Source organism: Homo sapiens, chromosome 14 (genome assembly GCF_000001405.40).
Source record: "Homo sapiens chromosome 14, GRCh38.p14 Primary Assembly".
Lineage (NCBI taxonomy): Eukaryota > Metazoa > Chordata > Mammalia > Primates > Hominidae > Homo > Homo sapiens.
The window spans coordinates 58,829,346-58,850,771 of NC_000014.9; the positions used below are offsets into that span (position 1 = coordinate 58,829,346).

General features: G+C 39.2%; 1 long non-coding RNA gene across 1 annotated transcript in view, besides 1 other annotated feature; it reads left to right on the top strand.

Annotated features, from left to right (window-relative positions):
• LINC01500 (long intergenic non-protein coding RNA 1500) overlaps positions 1 to 21,426 on the top strand; it is a 189,041-nt gene that overhangs the window by 1,058 nt on the left and 166,557 nt on the right. The window lies entirely within an intron of this gene.
• Positions 17,217 to 17,757: an enhancer, noted in NCBI's record as "NANOG hESC enhancer chr14:59313280-59313820 (GRCh37/hg19 assembly coordinates)". NCBI's record gives its function as "activates a minimal SCP1, AML or CMV promoter by ChIP-STARR-seq in naive H9 embryonic stem cells {active_cell/tissue: H9 hESC(naive)}" and the evidence as "EXISTENCE:reporter gene assay evidence [ECO:0000049][PMID:30033119]".

The following is a 21,426-nucleotide window of genomic DNA, read 5'->3' on the forward strand; positions in this document are numbered from 1 at the left end:
TGAATTGTCTTGGCCCTGCCACCAGCTGAGATGCCTAGCTTCCTCTATGGCATATGACTACTGTATTTCTATGGCAACTGCTTTAGCATTTTGCAAGGGTCAAAAGAACCCATTTTGATATGTTAAAGGCAAAAAACAGCAACAGTCATTTAACATCAATTTTAGTCTTATCTCTAATGTTTCCCTTCTATTCAAACACTTCCTTCAATTAACTCCATACTAGATTTCGAAAACAAGTCGTTTCCTTGTTTCATTTTATTCCCTTTTCTTAGAAAGTCACCTCTCTTCTTTTCCCTTATTGAAATTCTATCCATCCTTGGAGGGAGAGCTACAATGTCATTTTCCTGGAGGCCCATCCCACTATTACACAAGACAGGTTACCTACCTTTGTAACATTGAGGTTTTTCTGCTAATTAGACTCTTAGCTCAGATATATTTAGGTTGGTGAGTCATTTGTGCACTTTGTTCTTCCAGAGAAAAACATTGTTGTCTGCATGTCTTTATGTGTGCATAGTGTGTGAGAGAGCCCTTTACAATCATAAATGCTCAATCTAGGTTAATCGAAAGAATAAATAAATAACGAATGATTTGTTTGGAAATAAAACAAACACTGGCTGGGGTAGCAGCGAAGCTGTAAAAGGCTAGGCTGGGGACCTAGTCTGGTTGCCTGTTACATGCATGGCTTGGGAAAATAATTTAACCTCTCTGAACTCAGTTTCTTCATCTGTAAAAACATAAGTGATCCTGCCTCCGTCCTTTCCCTGTATACTTATGGGATAGTTGTGGGAACCAAATAAAGAAATGCATGCAGACTGTAAATGCTAACCTGAGGTATTAAGTTCCTAGACAGCTGGACAACTCAGTTGACATTAGATACTTTTAATAGCCAACTTTACATGCTATTATCTCACCCCATTAAGAATATGTTATCAAGCTGTTTTGATATTACATAGCAAAGATGATTCATTTACTCCCTCATCTGTTTTTCTGCTCATCCATTCGTTCACTAAAATTTATTGAGTACCTACTACATACCAGGTACCATGCTAGGCACTCGGGCTGTGAACATGACAAGACAGATGTAGTCCCCTGCTCTGAAGGACCTTGCATTCTTGTAAGGGAGCACTGAAATAGGTCTACAAACAACTGAGCCCACAGATAAGATCATTTTAGATGAGGATAAGTGCCAGAAAGCAAATAAAACAAGTTAGTGTGCTAGGAAGTAAGTAGGCATGAACATCATTGGAGTGGTCAAGAAAAGCCTTTCTGGAGAGACCAGAATGAAGAGAAGGGACAAACTCTGCAAAGCGGGGACAGCAAGTGCAAATGCTCTGAGGTGGGACCAGGCTGAGGTTGATCAAACAGCAGAAAGACCAGTGGGCTGAAGCAAAATGACCCAAGGAGAATGGAGGCATTCGCTGATGGAAAGGTGGTTTATATGCACAGAAAGATTCAGACAGAGAAAAGCAATATATTTTCTTTGCCGATAAAGATCAAGGAGTTTAAAACTGGTTTAATTCTTGTGAAAACATAGCTCATTGGATAATATGTTAAGGTATTTACAATTATATAACCGTAGCATTAGGGAGTTTTGAGATTTACTATTTTAAAAAATCATTTTAATGTTAAAGCAAAGGGATCTTAACATTGTCCGTGGTTGTTGATATTTTACCAGAATACTATTTTTTCCTTCCCGTAAGTTGTTACTATTATTATTTTGGTGATTTGTTGCACCTTTTGCTGTCATTCATTGTAACCAATATTTAGTGGAAAGTCTGAATTAAAATATTTTAAAAATATATTTAATTGTATTGCATTCACAATATTTTTCTAGTAGGAAAGTAGGAAGTGTTAGGTTCTTTGTAGGTACTAGCTGAAGGGGGAAAAAAATTAGTCCTTCATGGAGTCCTCATGGAGTACACACACACACACACACACACACACACACACACACACACACACACACAATTTTTAACTGTGATAAATGCTGAGAAAGAGGTTATGTGCTATCATGCTCTTTCTTTTTTTTTTTTTTTTGAGATGGCGTCTCACTCTGTCACCCAGGCTGGAGTGCAATGGTGTGACCTTGGCTCACTGCAACCTCCGCCTCCCGGGTTCAAGCCATTCTCTTCCCTCAGCCTCCCGAGTAGCTGGGATAACAGGCGCCTGCCACCATGCCCGGCTAATTTTTTTTATTTTTATTTTTAGTAGAGACGGGGTTTCACCATCTTGGCCAGGCTGGTCTGGAACTCCTGACCTCGTGATCCACCTGCCTCAGCCTCCCAAAGTGCTAGGATTACAGGCGTGAGCCACCGTGCCCGGTCCTATCATGCTAATTCTGAACAGCAGGAATTTACCAAGTAAGAAGGTCAGGGTTAACCTAGTCAAGATTATGAACTATCAGTCCTACTTTAATCACAATTAGAATGGGCTGTAATACGTTTTTATCCCCACTGTAGCTTTACCTTTCCTTAGAGATAAATTGCATGTAAATATATATTAAAGTGCTTCAAGTCAGTTTTGTCTCTTAAGTATATATTTGTTTCTTTGTAATCTGCTTTTACTTTTAATTTGAACATCAAACCAATATCCTCTCCCCACTCTTTTTCATATTCACAGAAGAGGAGTCAGCCCTGTTGTTGACACTAATTAATGACCACTCATATTTGGTTGGCAGAGAGATTTATCCCATGTCCTGTGAGTTCTCTTCTCCTTTTTTTGCACTCTGCACCCTAGACATCTGGGCCACGATTGCCAGAAGCCTCTGAGTGCTCCATCTCACTTTCCTCCCTCCAAGCCTCCCCATGTGTCATCTCTCTGGTCACAGTGGTGTCCCAACCAGTGGTTCCTGCAGTTTCCTGACACTGAAACCTGCTCAGCCAGATGGCATAACTCCCTCCAGGCAGCAACTCTGTGCCAGGCATCGGACTTCCAGGCTCATAAATGTGGAATCTGTCAGGCTGAGAACATAAGTTGCTCCAGCCCATTATTAGCCAGTAGAAAGCTTATAAAAAAGGACTTTATAAACCAAGGCACGAGTACATAATTTCATGAGCAAAGCTGCAGTGTGGCAGTTCTTGGTTTAAAGCTGAAAGCCTTTCTAATGTGTTGCCAGAGGATTAAACGCTATCACCATGTTTCAGGCAGTGATTTTTATTGCATGTTTCATTCAGGATTTGGCACTGGAAAAGAAGGAATTCTGCACACAGCAAATTGAAATTAGAAGGCAGTGAGTTGCTATTTGAAGCAGGGATGCTATTGTTTTGAGGACATTATCTTCTGTTGAGGTGATTCCCATCTTGTGCACAATCTCTCCATTTTTCAATAGATATTTACCATTTTTCATTCTTGATAAATCCTTTCTGTAATGCCTGGTACTTTTCAAAATTATTCTTCAAATAGACAAATAGAATCATTTCTGACGAATAGAATGATGTGTTGCTTAACGATGGGGCTGTGTTCTGAGAAATGCTTCATTTAGGTGATTTTGTCCTTGTGTGATTATTGTAGGGTGTACTTACACAAACCTAGATGGTTTAGCCTCCTGCACACCTAGACTAGAGGGCATGACCTATTGCTCCTAGGCTACAAACCTGTACAGGATGTTACTGTACTGAATACTATAGGCAATTATGACACAATGGTAAGCATTTGTGTATCTAAACAAATCTAAGCACAGAAAAAGCACAGTAAAAATATGGTATTATAATCATATGGGACCACTTGTGGTCCATTGTTGACTGAAACGTTGTTATGTGGTGCATGACTGTAAGGTGGTCTGTTTGCAGTATCAGAAGAGAAATAGCTTGTGTAGCACTCATAGAAAATCAGGGATTAAAATAGGCAGAGCGAAAAACCAGGGACTCACCTCTCTTACTTAAAAAAAAAAAAAGCAGGTCATTGGGCACAAGGTTACGGCTTTGGATTGGTCACCTTGGGTTAGAGTGAGACTTGAGGATCTGAGTCTCAATTAAAAGTTGTTTCACGTTCTGGTTGATCAGGCTCTTTGTGAGTATAGGCCACACGCTACTCTACCTCTGGGATGGCAAACAGGAGCACCCAAACTCCCTTCAATCAGCTCCCTTTCCTTTTCTACCATTTTCTATCTTCGTTTCTTCCCTTTAATAAGGGAAACAAAGCTTTTTCTTTTAATGACTGCCACCAGAGCTCCTCTTTGCAAGGTAACTTTGTTGTGAAAAGGTGCACAACAGTGATAAAGACAGTTATGGGCAGGTGAGATACTAGGACGTGGAGCAGGCTGGTTCCAATGCCCCATTAAGGATGGCAAGGCAGCTCCACACAAAACCAAGAGAGCAAGGGCTCCAGACAGGGTGGGGAGGGAAGCAGGAAGCAGAGGGCCCTGAGGCTGGGATTGTGGAGTGAGGAACCCATGGTACCCTGGAGGTGGAGGTGAGAGGTGACAGCATGCTGGCAGCCCCTGCTCGCTCTCAGTGCCTCCTTGGCCTCGCGCCCACTCTGGCCATGTTTGAGGAGGCCTTCAGCCCGTCTCTGTGCTATGGGAGCCCCTCTCTGGGTTGGTTGAGGTCGGAGCCGGCTCCCTCTGCTTGCTGGGAGGTGTGGAGGGAGAGGCGCGGGCAGGAAGGGTGGCGCTTGGGGGCCAGCGCCAGTTCCGGGTGGGCGTGGGCTCTGTGGCCACTCACTTGGAGTGGCTGGCGGGCGCCACCAGCCCGGGGCAGTGAGGAGCTTAGCACCTGGGCCAGCAGCTGCGGAGAGTGTGCTGGGTCCCCCAGCGGTGCCGCCCGACAGCGCTGCGATCGAATTATCACGGGGCCTCAGCTGCTTCCCCGCAGGGCAGAGCTCGGGACCTGCAGCCTGCCATGCCCGACCCTCCCTCCGCCGCTGTGGGCTCCTGCGTGGCCCGAGCCTCCCAGACAAGTGCTGCCCCCTGCTCCGCGGGGCCTGGTCCCATTGACCACCCAAGGGCTGAGGAGTGCGGGACACATGGCAAGGGACTGGCAGGCAGCTCTGCCTGCAGCTACAGGGCAGGATCCACTAGGTGAAGCCAGCTGGACTCCTGAGTCTAGTGGGGACTTGGAGAACCTTTATGTCTAGCTAAAGGATTGTAAATATACCAATCAGCACTCTGTGTCTATCTCAAGGTTTGTAAATACACCAATCAGCACTGTGTCTACTTCAAGGTTTGTAAACACACCAATCAGCACCCTGTGTCTAGCTCAAGGTTTGTAAATGCACCAATCAGTGCTCTGTGGGGACTTGGAGAACTTTTGTGTCTAGCTCGGGGATTGTAAACACACAAATCAGCACCCTGTCAAAACGGACCAATCGGCTCTCTGTAAAATAGACCAATCAGCTCTCTGTAAAAATGGACGAATCAGCAGGATATGGGTGGGGCCAGATAAGGGAATAAAAGCAGACTGCCCCAGCCATCAGGGGTAACCTACCTGGGTCCCCTTTCACATTGCGGAAGTTTTGTTCTTTCACTCTTTGCAATAAATCTCGCTGCTGGTCACTCTTTGGGTCCACACTGCCTTTATGAGGTGTAACACTCACCACAAAGGTCTGCAGCTTCAGTCCTGAAGCCAGCGAGACCACGAACCCACCGAGAGGGACGAACAACTTCAGACAAGAGAAACAAACAACTCCAGATGCACCACCTTTAAGAGCTGTAACACTCACCCCGAAGGTCTGCAGCTTCACTCCTGAAGTCAGCGAGACCACGAACCCACCAGAAGGAAGAAACTCTGGACACATCTGAACATCTGAAGGCACAGACTCCGGACACACCATCTTTAAGAACTGTAACACTCAACACGAGGGTCCGCGGCTTCATTCTTGAAGTCAGCGAGACCAAGAACCCACCAATATTGTACACAACATTTCTGGGGCAGCTGACTAGATGAGAGCATAGGAATAAGAGGCTGGCTTCTGTAAAATAAGAATAGCAGCACCCATCTCCCTGTGTTGCTGTGAGAATTAAATAGGCTATTTGTAAGGTGCCTAGTACTGTGCCTGGCATTGAGCAGTGTGCTCAGCAGATACTAGGTTGTGGCCCTCACTACGTTGTTTCCCAAAGGGCAGTGGGCAAGTGCGATGAGCCAGTTGTCATTTTATTTATTCAACCAACATACCAGTATTATTGAGTGCCATTGCTCTTGTTTTCCTCAAGGACTGGTGAAGACATTGTCCAGGAATGTTACCACCTGCTAGGTGTGCAACCTTAGGCAAGTTTTTTAGCCTCTGTGAGAATCCATGTGAATGGCTGTAAGGGGGTGACGGTAATCATACCTACATCAAAGAATCTTTCTAAACCTTAAATGAGATAATCCATGTAAAGTACTTAGCATAGGGCCTGGCAACAGGAAATACTCGGTACCTGTTAATGATTAATAAGAACCCGAAGAGTTTAAAACGCTTTTCTTGAATCCACTTATATATTCAACTTCTTCTACCAAAGAGTGGTATACTTCATGAGCTTACCACAAGCTCTTTGTTCTAAATGCAGCTTATTTTCTGAGGATCCAAGAAGCCACCATGTAGCCCTGGAGCTGGAAGAACATCATTGATGTTATAGTTCATCCTCTTCGTTGTACGGAGGAAGAGATGGGGGCTGGCTGGTGGCAGATTTGCTGACTCTCCACGTGGTGCTCCATCCCAGCTGCAATAGGCTTATTTTCTATTTCTTTTCTTTTTTCTTTCTTTCTTTTTTTTTTTTTTTTATTTTGAGACGGAGTCTCGCTCCATTGCCCAAGCTGGAGTGTAGTGGTGTGATCTCAGCTCACTGCAACCTCCGCCTCCTCGGTTCAGGCAATTTTTCTGTCTCAGCCTCCCGAGTAGCAGGGACTACAGGTGCCTGCCACCATGCCTGGATAATTTTTGTATTTTTAGTAGAGATGGTGTTTCCCCTTGTTGGTCAGGCTGGTCTCAAACTCCTGACCTCAGGTGATCCACCCACCTCAGCCTCTCAAAGTGCTGGGATTACAGGCATGAGCCACCATGCCCAGCCTTATTTTCTATTTCTACCCACCTCAATTAAAGTAAAAAAATCAGATGTTGGTCAGGCGGAGTTCAGTTACCACAGGGTTCTGCTATTTTACCATTTCTCTTCCTGCTGTCATTGATGGAAGTGGTCAGGCCATGTAGTTAGGTAAGGCCTGTCAATCTCACCTTATCTAATCATTTCCATCTACTCATGGCAGACTGCCATAAGAAGAAATGGAAATGGTACTGGGAGGCTTTGGCTGTCTTTTAATTCCTATCACCCTTGAAGTGGTTACTTAATATTCTGTCTATTATTCCTTGTAGAGTCTCTTTGGCATTACAAATTGCCTTATTTTCTCATGGAATTAAATTACTTTCAAATGATTTTTCTCATACTATGGTAGCTTGCATTTTTCTAAGCTGACTCTAGTTTATAATTTTCTGGCATTAGATCCAATCCCTTCATCTTGGTGTATCTGAACACAATTTTTGCCTATTCAAAACAGAACTTCCACTAATATCAATAACCTAATGTTCATTCTCCATTCCAAGTCATTTACAAAATTTTTATTGGGACCAGAGAGAATAAGACCTTCTGCCAAATATATTGTCTGAATTGGATACTGAGCCATTTATCAATTTCCTTTGTTTAAAAAATAGGTTAGCTATTTTAAAATTTATTTGACAATTTTTTTTCAAGCTAATTTAAATTTACTTTAGATAACATTTTATTAAATACTGTATCAGATGATTTATTAATTCCCTCCCTCATGTAATTCTGCATTATTTCCTAAACAAATTATTTTTATAATTTTGCCAAGAGCAGCTATGTTATTTTATTTGAAACAACTTGTTTAAATAAATGCTTGGCATTGCTTTGCTATTGCTTGGGATTTTAAAATTACTTTTCCTGAACATAATTGCTTTAAATTAAGAATTGCACTTCTGTTGAAATTTTGAAGGTTATAGTTTTGATTTTTCTTACACTTTTAAAAAATAGGTGAGCTGAGTAACTCCCTTTAATCAAGAATTTATAAGTTACAAACATTCATATTTTCCATAACGAATAAAAAGATAATTCTTTACAAATCGACGTTTCTGTAGAGACAGCAATTTTTTTTCAGTGATATTCTTTTGGACTTTAGGAACAGAGAGTTTTTGTTATTGTTGCGATTTTTAAAACTCTTCTTCAATATACTTCAAATTATCACTCTTCAATGTTATTTTTAAAGACAGAGTTGAAAGCCACTAAGCTTCATGTACAAGCTTTTAAAAAAATGTTGTCATTCGTTTCATACCTGCACTCATTTATGTTGTGTATATTCTCTGTAATTCCTATTTTCTTTTCTATTCATTTAAGCTAGGATTTCCTAGCTGGCTCTTGTCAATGTGAGTCTTAATGTAATCACCAAGGCAGATTTTCTTTGGGTTTATTTTTGTGCTCTCTAGCTCAAAATTGCCCTTCATATAATTTGGGACTTTTCGATGCCAACTGATGGGCTGTCATTAGTTTAATGTGTCCATTCGTACAACCTTGTGAGGCCTATACCATCTACATAGTCAATCTTATTTCTCTCTCCCTGGGGTTAAATCAGTATCTACTGTAATTTCCTTTCCCCGTTTTTAACTACATACTATTTTATTGGACTACAGATTACTTTTTTCCAGAATTTATCCAAATATGATATTAAAAATCTTTCCTATATGCTATGCTATGTTTCAACATCTTTCCATTACCTTTAATTTCAATATTGATCAATTAGCAACATATTTATAAGGAACACTCAATATTTAATTTGAGTGATTAGGCTGCATTTTCAACTTTATCTCAATATACAGTTCAATAAGTTCCTCACGTTTTCCATATGAGGATATAATTACCTGGCATTTCACAGAATGAGAGATTCTGGATTAAGCCTACATTCTTATGCAGCATTAAATAAATATATGTTGTTTTAAAATTGATGTGTAAATGATCTAACATTACACATACATGTTCGTTCCTTTCTTTCCCCTAACAATTATATCTAACATTTTATGTAAATAAGATTAAACTCTGGCCAGGTGCTGTGGCTCCCCCTAGAATCCCAGCACTTTGGGAGGCCAAGGCGAATGGATCACTTGAGGTCAGGAGTTTGAGACAAGCCCGATCAACATGGTGAAACGCCATCTCTACTAAAAATACAAAAATTAGCCCAGGTGTGGTGGCACGCACCTGTAATCCCAGCTACTTGGGAGGCTGAGGCATGGGAATCCCTTGAACCTGGGAGGCAGAGGTTGCAGTGAGCCAAGATTGTGTCAGTGCACTCCAGCCTGGGCCACAGAGTGAGATCCTGTCTGAATAAAAACAAAAGATTAAACTCTCCTTTGTCTCCTTTGAGTCAAACTTTCACTTCCAGCAGAAATGTTCAGTCTTTGATTTTCTGAACTACTCATTTTTTTTCTCCCCTAAAGGGCTTTTTTTCTCTCTTTTTTTTTTTTTGACAATATTGTAAAAAATTAAGGAATACATGAAGTTTATTCAAATATCCACTACCAAGAAGTAATCATTTATGAAATGACATTATGGAAAAAAAAGGACCAACATTAAGTATAAAATGATGGCTTGAAACCAGGAGTTCAAGACCAGCTTGGGCAACATAGCAAGAACCTGTTTTCAACAAAAAGGAAAAATAAAATAAAAGTAAAATAAAATAAAATGAGGCCATTCTCTGTGTTGCCTACCCCAGCTTTACACAACAATACTAGTGTCTTGGATGTTAGGGGATTTCTGTTGGGGTCTGACAGAGACCACTTAGTGTACTTTTTTGGGACTCGACTTCCTTGACATCCAGCTCTAATTTAAAAGTCTTTGATTATCATCACAGCTGAAAATGCCACAAATCTGTTCTTCTTTTAAAAAAATTGTAGTAAAATATCATTTAGTCATTTTTAGGTGTACAATTTAGTGACTTTAAGTATATTTACGTTGTTGAGCAACCACCACCAACATCCATCTGCAGAACTCTTTTTATCTTGCAGAACTGAGACCATTTGCCCGTTAAACAATAACTCCCTATTCCCCACTTTTCCCAACCCCCTGGCAAGCACCGTTCTGCTTTTTGTCTTTGAGAATTTGACTACTTTACAGACATCATGTAAATGAAATCATACAATGTTTGTCCTTTTGTGTCTGGCTTATTTCACTTAGCGTAACGTGTTCCAGGTTCATCCATGTTGTAGCATGTGTCAGAATTTTCTTCCTTTTTAAGGCTGAATAATATTGCATTGTATGTATATACTACACTTTGCTTATCCATTCTTTTGTCAATGGACTTTTGAGTTGTTTGTGCCTTTTTCCTATTTTGAATAACACTGCTATGAACATTGTTTACAGATATCTGTTCAGGTCCCTGCTTTCAATTATTTTGGGTATATACCAGAAAATAATATTGCTGGGTCATGTGGTAATTCTATGTTCAATTTTTTTTAAGAACCCACACATGTTTTTACCTGTAAGATGATAATTCCTCTGATTATACTCATTTTTAGCAGAAATTTTATTCTCTTGTGGCTTCTGACTTCATTTTCAGTTTTTAACAAGTACAAAAACAGTGGTTAAATAAAATGCCAAGAATTATGACACTCCTGGTTTAGTAACGTTTAAAAAAAGGCATAAAATTAACTTTTGGAAATGATAAGCTATAGATTCTCTTTATAGCAAAACCAATTTCTTTATTTTTTCAAAATTATTATTTTAAAAACTGAGTTTTACTCATGATTATCTTTTGAAAATATTCCAATATTTGAAGTTTTCATAGTATTTTTTCCTACCTATAAAGCTTACTTTAAAAGGAAACAGAAGTATGATTTGCTGAGGCAAAATTATAGGGGTATCCTTTAAAAAAATAAACCATTCCTAAAGATCTGAACTTAGAAAACAAGTCCATTAGAAGATGATTATCTGTGTGGTCAAAAACAGATCTTGAATTGATCAAAGGTTTCTTTTAACTAGTTTCTTGATGCATTTTTTTGAAAGGATTTGATTTATTAATAATTTTCTAAGAAGCCATTGTAAAGACATTATGGCAAAATTATCTTGATTTGTAGTTGAGTAATTAGAATTTGTGATATTTGTACAGGGTTCATGAAGTTGGCTTTTTTTGCAGAAGTTGTTTGAGGAAAAATAAAAGCCTGTTAACAAGACTATAAACAAGATTCCAAAGGAAAATGATTGCCTATTGAAGAGAGCCAAAGTGTTTTCAAGCATTTAAGAAATAGTAATTTAGGGACAAGCTGCCATTTGAGTGTCCTGCAGAGGCTAACAATGCTTATGCTGAAGCTGTAATATGCTAGCTTCAAGCCATTCTTATTGATTAATGCTTTAATGGGCTTTTTGCTAGGCAACATTTAGTTAGCACAGTTATTATACCTGTTTGACTGTATAAAATTGCATTTATTGAATATCCAGTTTGGGGAAGATAAAGGAGAAAATTACACTTTTCTTGAGTTGTCTCTGGCACTACGGTTAGGTTGCTGCCTTTTAAATGCTTGAAATTAAAGCTTTCATCTTGAATTATCATAGTATTTCTACTTTTATTTTCTGAGTATGGTCTATAGTTACAGCTGCTGACAAAGAATGGAATCTGGCTAACATAAATTTGAGAGAAGGAAGAAAAAGCTGGTTTTGGATCAGGATTTTGGGTTCTGGGACAGACATTTACCAACATCTGTTTCAAAGGAGAAAATAGAAGCCCACCCTAGAAGTCTAAGGGTCATCAGGAAATAGACAAACATCAGGATATTATATTAAAGCACATCTGTCTCCAGTTTGGCATGAAAAGCCTATATTTAGATATTATTTTAAGAGCTATGTTTAAAAATGCTGATAAAGTAGATTCCATACTCATTTTTTAGTCAACTGTGTTATTTTTCTTTTTCACAGATGTGCACACTTGGTACTATAGTTTGAATATATTTTCTATCAAGACCAAAATTTAAAAAGTAAAAGTATGGAATTTCTGTCTTCTCCATCCTGGCTTAAAACTTTGGAGCATACCTCGAATAGCTTATGCATCGTTGGTGGAAAGTCCTTGCATCATTATTTTACCTTGTGTGTATACGTGCATGTGTGTATTTCACTGTTGTTGCTTGGGGCCTCCTCAGTTGGTGTGGTATATTGGGTCTTCAATCACCTGGTCATACCAGGCCTATTGTAGCCCTGGAGATTTGGTGCCTATTTGAATCAAGTCTGGTAGCAACCTTCTGTAGACCTAATTCTTTCAGCTGTGATTTGTTATAGAAAAAAATAACTGTTTGAATCTGAGTTCTAGGCCAGCTCTTATCAGCTACTGAGGGTTCTGTTTGTGGAGGTGCCCCCTGTGCATGCTGAAGCCAGATTTTGGCACAGTTACAGAGACACACAGAGCCGCATTCGTTTCACAATTCTAGACATAAATAGCCTATTATGGGTTGGATTTAGAGTTATTTATTGTAGTATTTTAGTCAGTTTGGGCTGCTATAAAAAATACAATAGACTGGGTGACTTAGAAAACAGAGATTTATTTCTCACAGTTCTGGAGGTTGAGAAGTCCAAGATCAAGGTGCTGGCAGATCCAGTCTGGTGAGGGCTTTCTTTTTGGTTTGCAGAGAGCTGTCTTGTATTCTTATGCCGTGTGGGGATGGGGAGGGAGAGATATCTCTTTTGCGTCTTTTCTTATGTGGACACTAATCTCATTCATGAGGGCACCACCCTCTTGACCTATTAATAATCGCATCCCAAAGCCCCACCTCCCAATACCATCACACTAGGGATTTAGGCTTCCACATTCAGTCTATAGCCTATAGTTATTCATTTTTACAATAAAAGATGTACTTATATTTTTCTTCATATCTTCTCTTCCTGGTCACTGGTTTGGTTTTTCATTCTGGAGAAGAATAAGAGGTAATTTTCCCACAATTATAATTTATTCCTGGAATCAATTATAATTTATTCAGCAGCAGGAGGGTTACTTTATAAGTTTGAAAGAAACAAGAAGATATGCTTGGCTTTGCTAAAAAAAAGGTATTATTACTATTATTGAGTTATTAAGAGAGGGAGAGTCTTAGTTTGGTGCTAATATATCCTTAACAACAACCTAAAATCTCCTATTTAAAAAAAGAGAGAGTAGGACCCAAGCTCAGAGTCTTTAGTAGGCAACTGTTTCCAGTGAGAATTTAATGACATTACTGTGTTTTTACTTCTTTAGAATTTCCTTCTATTTATGGCAAATAGAACAGCTTTTAAGATTTCTTTCAAACTCTTGTTGGACCAGAAGTTGAAGTAAACTCTGGATTGTTTTATTTAATCCTTATAATAACTCAGTGTGTTTGAAGCTATTTTATTTTATTTTATTCTTTTGAGACAGAGTCTTGCTCTGTCACACAGGCTGTAGTGCAGTGACACAATCGTGGCTCACTGCAACCTTGACCTCCTGGACTCAAGCCATCCTCCCACCTCAGCCTCCCAAGTAGCTGGGACCACAGGCGTGTGCCATCATACCTGTCTAATTTTTAACCATTTTTTTGTAGAGACGGGGTCTGCCTATGTTTCTCAGACTGGTCTCAAACTCCTAGGCTCAAAGTGCTGGGATTACAGGCATGAGCTACTGCGTGAGGCCTGAAGCTATTTTAAACCACATTTTACATGTGAAAAAAACGGAGACTCAGGGAGATTAAGTAACTTGTCTAAAGTCACTTATATTGTGGAAATCTAGAATTCGGATTCAGCTCTGTCTGAATCCAGAGCCCAAACTTTGACCCACTGTGCACATGGTCTGTGCACCAGAGGGAGAAAGCAAGTTTCAGGCCATCTCTACTCATGTCCAGCAGTTCTTGCTAGCATCCTACGGGTAGCACAGAAATTTATATGTGCCCAATTCCTTCTGTCCACAGACTAGCTGTAGTAATGTCACGTACTGAAATTCAAGATAACATTCTCAGAGGGCTTTTCTTTTTAGGAGTGGGAACAGTTTAAAATAAAACTACTTTCCTCCACCAATGGTATGTTTATATATATATATATATATATAAACATATATATAGAAGTAAAATGGGAGAAAAAGTAGTAAAAATATTTAACCCAATTTATTGTCACTCACGGGCAGCTGAATATCCTGGAAGAGACATCAGACTGCATGCGAGAGGGGAGTTCTAGTACCTAACCGAGCAAAGTAGGTCCAGAAACCACCAGAGATTTCTGCTGCTTCACTGACCTAAGCTATGGTTAAATTAAAACAATGATTTTTGGCCTGGCGAGGTGGTTCATGCCTGTAATTCTAGCAGTTTGGGAGACTGAGGTGGGTGGATCACCTGAGGTCAGGAGTTCGAGACCAGCCTGGCCAACATGGTGAAACCCCGTCTCTACTAAAAATGCAAACATTAGCCAGGCATGGTGGCAGGTGCCTGTAATGCCAGCTACTCAGGAGGCTGAGGCAAGAGAATCGCTTGAACCCAGGAGGCAGAGATTGCAGTGAGCTGAGATCAAACCACTTCACTCCAGCCTGGGCGAAAGAGCAAAACTCCTTCTCAAATAAAATAAAATAAAAAAAAAACAATGATTTTTAAGCAGCTTTTTAAGATGAATTATATACTTTTAAATCTTTTGTATAAAAATGGATAAAAGTGGAGCCGTTCTGATTTCTAAATTAGGGAGGAGGGATAGTACTTGGATCTGTCCATATAAATTTAATTCCAAACTCCCCCACAACTTCCTACCACTGTGATCTTTGGCGAGTTACTTAATCTCTCTAAGCCTCCGTTCTTTTACCTGTAAATTGGGGTATAACAATAATATTCACCTTATAGAGTGGCTGTGAATCAATGTAAAATCCTGAGAACAACACCTGGAACATAGAACAATTGTTTATGTTATGGTTTTATTTTTGTTGGAAGCTGGTTGAAGAAAAGATACAAATCACTGCTTAAGAGCAATTTAGCTGGTTGATCTCTAAAATCTCAGAATTCTATTCTGTGTTTCTATACTAGAAATTTATAGAGCATAACTCAGAATACCAAGCTTAAGAATCCATCAAATTACCATATTTAGGAGTGTTTTGTGCTTGCTTGTTAATTTTATGCCTTAAATTCTAGGAAACGTTGATAGCTATATGCCTATCATCTGTGCTATTTTTCTCAATGTGATTAGTCTCTGGAAGGTTGAAATCAAAATGTTTTGGAAGTAACACCAAAGAAAATAAGTCTAGGCTTTGTTGGTTATCCCTATTTGTTGTGAAAATGTCCTTCAGCGACTAGAGGATAACACTTGCACAGAGCACCTGCTTTCCTTGATGTCACACATTGTGTTATTTATTATATCTTGGGAACAATAGTGTTTGCTCCAGAGGCATATTGCTGAAGTGTTTAATTATCCAAAGGCCCTTGATTTCATCAGTACCTCTGGGTCCTTGACCCCTGACCTTTTTGGCTCCAGAAAGGCTGCAGGTACAGATCTATTTGCCGGTCAACAAGCTGGTATCAAGTCTCCTCTTTGCCCCATTCCTACCCCCTTTTCAGTAAACAATACATTCTAATATAAAATAGATGGGATGATAGCTTATCAGGGAAACTGCCAAGACCCCAGGGTCTCTGTCTCCTTGGAAAATTACTAAGCCACATTTAATACCGTGGAAATCAACTTCCTGAAGCCCAGAATTAGCCTGCCCTTTTGGTATTAAGCAGCACTGCTGATACAATCTATACTAAAGGCAGAAGAGAAATGGGGATCTCTACCCTACTGTCTTAAAATAAATACAGGCAAATCTGTTAGAGGAATTCATTGCATTTTAAAACTCAGAAGGATGTGAAAATAAGCATAAATAGATAGCTGCAAATGGAGAAAGGATAAATGCCTTTGGGGCAAATTCTTCATTATATAGGAATTAGAGTAGATGCTAAGAAGAATCAAAATGTTATACATGCTCTACCTTTAAAAGTTAATTATGATTTTAAAATAATTCAGTAGAGTGGCTACGATTATAAGCTTTCAAGGCAGACTGCCTGAGTTGGAATCTCAGCCATGCTATTAATTAGGTGTGTGATCTGGAATAGTTACTTCCCTTGCTGTGATTTTGCTCCTGCATCTGTGAGATGGAGTTCCGGTTATCTACTGCTGTCTAACAAACTACCCCCACCATTGAATTGCCTAAAGCAACAACCATTTTATGAAAACTAGTGATTTTGTGGGTCAGAAATCTGTGCAGGACTCTGCTGGCGGTTCTGCTCCATGTGGCACTGATTGGGTCACCTAGTGGCATTCAGTGGGCAGCTGCTTAGTTCTGGAGGTCCATGATTTCCCTCATGGTCTGGCATCTCGACGGGGCAGCTGGAAAGCTGCGCTCAGAGCCTCTGGAGGTGGTGTCTTCAGCAGGGTAGTTGGGTTTCTTACAATGGAGGCCCGGGGCTCCAAAAGTGAGGGCACAGGAGGCAGGAAAAGGAAGCTCTTAAGGCTTGGCCCCGGAAATGGGCACTGCGTCATTTCCGCATAAACTCATGGTCAAAACAGTCACAGAGCCTGCTCAGATTCAGGGAGGGGTCTTTGACTTCACCCCTTCATGGGAGGGGTGTCAAAGAATTTGCGGCCCTCTTTAATCAACCACAGATGGGGAGTATAGTAGTGCTGATCTGATAAAGTAATTGTGAGGATTAAATAAGACAGTATCTATAAAGTGTTCAACAGCATTCATCAGATTAAATGTTCCGTGTGTTAGATGTTATATGTTTATATATACTATTTCTCTATATAAATGTATACATGTATAATTATATTTATAAAACTATATATTTATAGGCAATCTGACATGTATGCATACTATAGCTATGTAGGTAGGTGATCTATGTATAATTACATTTATATGATTACATTACAACAAAGCAGAGGCTGATGTGGATATGAACAATCCTCAAGTAATTTCTACATCAGCTTTCTTAGTATTTGCATAGTGAATCGCTTTCCTTTCTGGGGGAAATAAGAGAATCGCTGCAGAAAAAGAGATTTATTTATTGAATTGTTTTATTTTAACTAAAACTAAACATCACTGGACACTGAAGTGACAGAACTGCTCCTGTGTGTGGACTCTCAGGAGGGGGTGGTGGCTGAGGCACTTAGCCCACTGGCCTTGAGGAAGGAAGGTCAGTCAGGCAGTATGTTTGATGGGGAACAGAGGACACTGGAGAACTATTTTACTCCTAAGAATTATTTTACTGCTTTGTGCTTTTAAGTCTCACCTTTAAGGAGCCACATTGTAATCAATAATTGGAGAGTTAGCTTCCATGCTGAGAGACTGAGAGAAAGAAGGTAGTGGTCCTCTAAGAAGAAAAATTTCCAAATACAAAACAAGGTCACACGTGAAAAGGCTAACATGACAAATGTGCCAGCGTGTTGTAGGAAGGCCAAGGATCTAGAAAAGAAATGGAAAATCCTATACATAAAGACATCAGAGGCAGCCTATGCTCATGAAAAGAAAAAGGGTTAGACCAGGGAATGGGGTCATTCAAAGAACATTAAGGGGTTTCAGAAAGAATAGTTGTGCCCCAGAGGGCCACTAGGCAGAATGGGTTACATTACAAAGCTGTTAGGGTAGCATTTCAGGATGCGAGATGCACCATTTGCCAACAGAAGGGTGTGAGCAGGAAGAAACTCAAATCAGGTTTAGGCAACTCTTATAGCAGGATACCATTCTTTTTTTCTTAAAGTTGAAACTTGAAAGCATCAACTGAAAACTAACGGAAAAGTTAGGAAAATTCTCCATTTTTCACTCCTAACTCATCTGGGTGAGTTTGTCTTTTTATACCACGGTAACATGAAAGCCATTTAAAATGATCATCCTAGAAGACAAACCACAGAAAGGTTCTTGGTTACAGCTTGTGTACTTGCATTGCTTATGAACAGTCCAGGCTCTGTCCCCTGCTGTGTAGAGGGGTCTGGTCTCAGCGCAGTCCTCTGGTCCTCTCTGGCCTCCCTGAGGTCAGCTTTGGGACTTGCACTCCTGGGTTTACTCATGTTATTTGTGAGATATAGAACTTTATTTTTGCAAACTGTGTTAATGAGCTGATTGCCTTAATTCATTTTATTCTTCAATTGTATTATCAGGTTTTTTTTCCCAATAGATTTTTATGAAGTCTTTGTAAATTAAAAAAATTGGCCCTTTTTGTATGTGTTACAAATATGTTCCCAATATGTTGTCAATTGACTTTATTTATAATATGTATATTTTCCAAATGGATGTTTAGATAAATTTGACCACACAAACATTTAAATTTCTTTTATGGTATCTAGGTTTCATGCGTATTGCCTAGAAGGGATTTCCTATGCCAAGATTGTAAATAAATTCATCTGTTTTCTTCTATTCCTATAAGTTTATTTTAAAAAATCATTGATTAATCTGCTTTTATAATCTCATTAAAGAATCTTTGACTAGTCTGGATTTACTTGGTATAAAGACTGAAGAAGGGGCCAGGTGCCGTGGTGTGTGCCTGTAGTCCCAGCCACTCAGGCTGCTGAGGTGGGAGGATTGCTTGAACCCAGGAGTTTGAGTTCAGCTTGGGCAACATACTGACATTCCATCTCTTAAAAAAAAAAGGCTGAAGAAGGGAGATATCTTTTTCTAAATAGATAGCTAGTTTTCCCACTGTAATTTACAGATAATTCATTTTTCTCCGTTTGATTATAATGTAAGTTCCCATGTGAATTAGAGTCTATTTCTGTATTCTCTATCCTTTGATCTTCTCATCTCCTCTTCAGCACCAACCTGTTTTTAATTATTATAGTTCCATGGAAATATTTTAATATCTAGTAGGATTCATCCCCCTTATAGCTTTCCTATATATAAACAAGATTAGGTAAGAGAATATAATGGAAAAAAGATTCCAATTACCATATTAACTAAAAAAAAGAGTTTGGCATTAAAGAAACGTGCAGACACATAAATTTTAAAAAATTATACTTAGAACATAAGAAAAAACTTAAAAAGTTATACTGACAACATAAGAACAACATTCCTTGATATTGGATAGGAAGACTCTGTAGTGTGAAGCTGTCTGTTCTCCCTTAATAAATCCAGAGATTTAATACAATGCCAATTAAAATACCCAAAAGATTTTGAGGAAAACTTAAGAAAATGACACTAAGGCTCTCTTGGAGAAACAAATACACCAGAATGGCCAGAAAACTCCCCTTCCTTTTTGTACCTTATTAAGTCTCTTTAATATTGTCATTTAGTCTTTTATTTATTTATTTATTTATTTATTTATTTATTTATTTTTTTTATTTAGACAGAGTCTTGCTTTGTCGCCAGGCTGGAGTGCTGTGGCGCAATTTCGGCTCACTGAAACCTCTGCCTCCCGGCTTCAAGTGATTCTCCTGCCTCAGCCGCCCAAGTAGCTGGGACTACAGGCGCCCGCCACCACACCAGCTAATTTTTGTATGTTTGGTAGAGACGGGGTTTCACTATGTTGGCCAGGATGGTCTCGATCTTTTGACCTCATGCTCTGCGCCCCTCAGCCTCCCAACATTTAGGCTTTTTAATACTTCTATAAGTCATTCATACTTGTAAAGTGACTGCAAACATTACAGAGGTGTAAAAACATTAACAGCCGACAGTGATTGAGGGTTCTAGATGCCAGGCCCTTTACTGAATGCAGCGTATACGAAATGTTCATGATCTCATTTCCTCCTCATAACAGCCTTACCAGGTTATCCTCCTTATTTTACAGATGGGTAAAATGAGGCACAGGGGGACTCAATAACTTTTTAAAGATTACTTAAGTGGTACCTGCAGAGCCTGGGTTTTTAACCAGTACACCATTTTGTCTTCCATTACATAAATAAGAAAAAAAGAAAAAGTCCCTCCTTCATCCAGCCTCATTTCCCAGACTCTGTGTATCCGGTTCACTTAGGTACATATAATCATGTAAAATATTTTCATAAAATAGTGTAATTTAATATATACAATGTTCTGTGCTTTATCACTAAACACTATATAAAGCGTTTCTCCATGTCAGCATATATAGAACCACAACATTCTTTTTAGCAGTCACTCAGGATGCAGATGTACCATAATTTAACTATCCTTTATTGATGTGCATTTAGGATGTGACCTCAATTGTTATATTTCCTTTTTCCTCAATCAGTTATCATTAACTCTTATTATTTTGTTGTGATGCTCACTTCAATCTTCTCTTGTAGGCCACTGACAGATGTTTTGTAAGAACGCTGCAGTGAATCTGCTCCACCCAGGAGCCTCTCTCTTTAACAATTTGACAGTGCAGCTCACTTTTTGAGCTGTATTTGTTCAATACAGTATTTGAGAGCTGTTCTTTCTTTTAATTCTCAAACATTATTTTGCATCTGTCTGTGCGTTTTATTTGCTCTCGAAATAGTTCCTCAAAGACGTCGTACATACTATCTGCAGTTTCTTGTTCAGTGCTACCTGCTGGTTTTTATCTTTCCAGGGTATCATAAAGAATTAATCACCATCATGAACATTTATTGACTGTTCCCTATGAACCAGGCCCCATGTTAATAGCTTCATTCTCATCTCATTTCCTCCTCAAAGCAATCCAGGATACAGAAGATAATGCAGTATAAAGGTCTTTTTTTCCTCTATCTTACACATAAAGAGAGATTGAGGCACAAGGAAGTTAAGAAAGTTGCCAGAAAAAAGGACAAGAAGAAAGAAAGTTGCCTAAGACATGGAGCTGGGACTAGAACTCCATGTGGCTAACTTTTAAACCCAGCCTTTTAACCTCTGTCCTTTATTGCCTCTTTTTAAAGCCATCATCATTTTCTCTGCTTTTTGGACACTAAAATGTCCTTGGGAAGAAATTCCATTCTTTCTTGATTTTCCTTTTCTTTTCTCATTGCCTTCACATTGCCTCAAACGCTTCTCATTTATTCATTTATTTGTTTTTTGGCTTCAGTTTCCATCCTTTTCCCCTTTCTATGTGCATTTCATGCTACCACAGCTGGGAGCATTTATTTTTATTTTTATTTTTTTATAAAGACTTTGGCTTTCTTCCTTCCTTTGAGTTTTCTTTGTATCATTTTTAAAATATATCCTGCCATTCTCTTATCCCTTCCAAAGTCAGGAGGGCTTCCTTCAACTTGATCATTCCTCTTACATCCTTATTTCTTCTTGTTTGAAGAAAATTTCATCATCTGACACATACTTCTGCAAAATATCCCTCATTTTGCTAAATTATTTTCAGTTATTTCCTTATCATTAATAAAGTAGCTGTATTTCTCTCATAGCTCAAAGTTTCTTGGTCCATTTCTCTTTGGGGGTGCTGTGTGCTAAATAAGTAACCTTTAAGGTATTTGTTCTTATTGAGTGATTCTAACTGTTTAGATTTTTGGGTCACTTTGATTTCCTTTCAATACTGTCACTTTTTCTTTTGCTTTCTTTTTTTTTTTTTTTTTGAGACAGAGTCTTGCTCTGTCGCCCAGGCTGG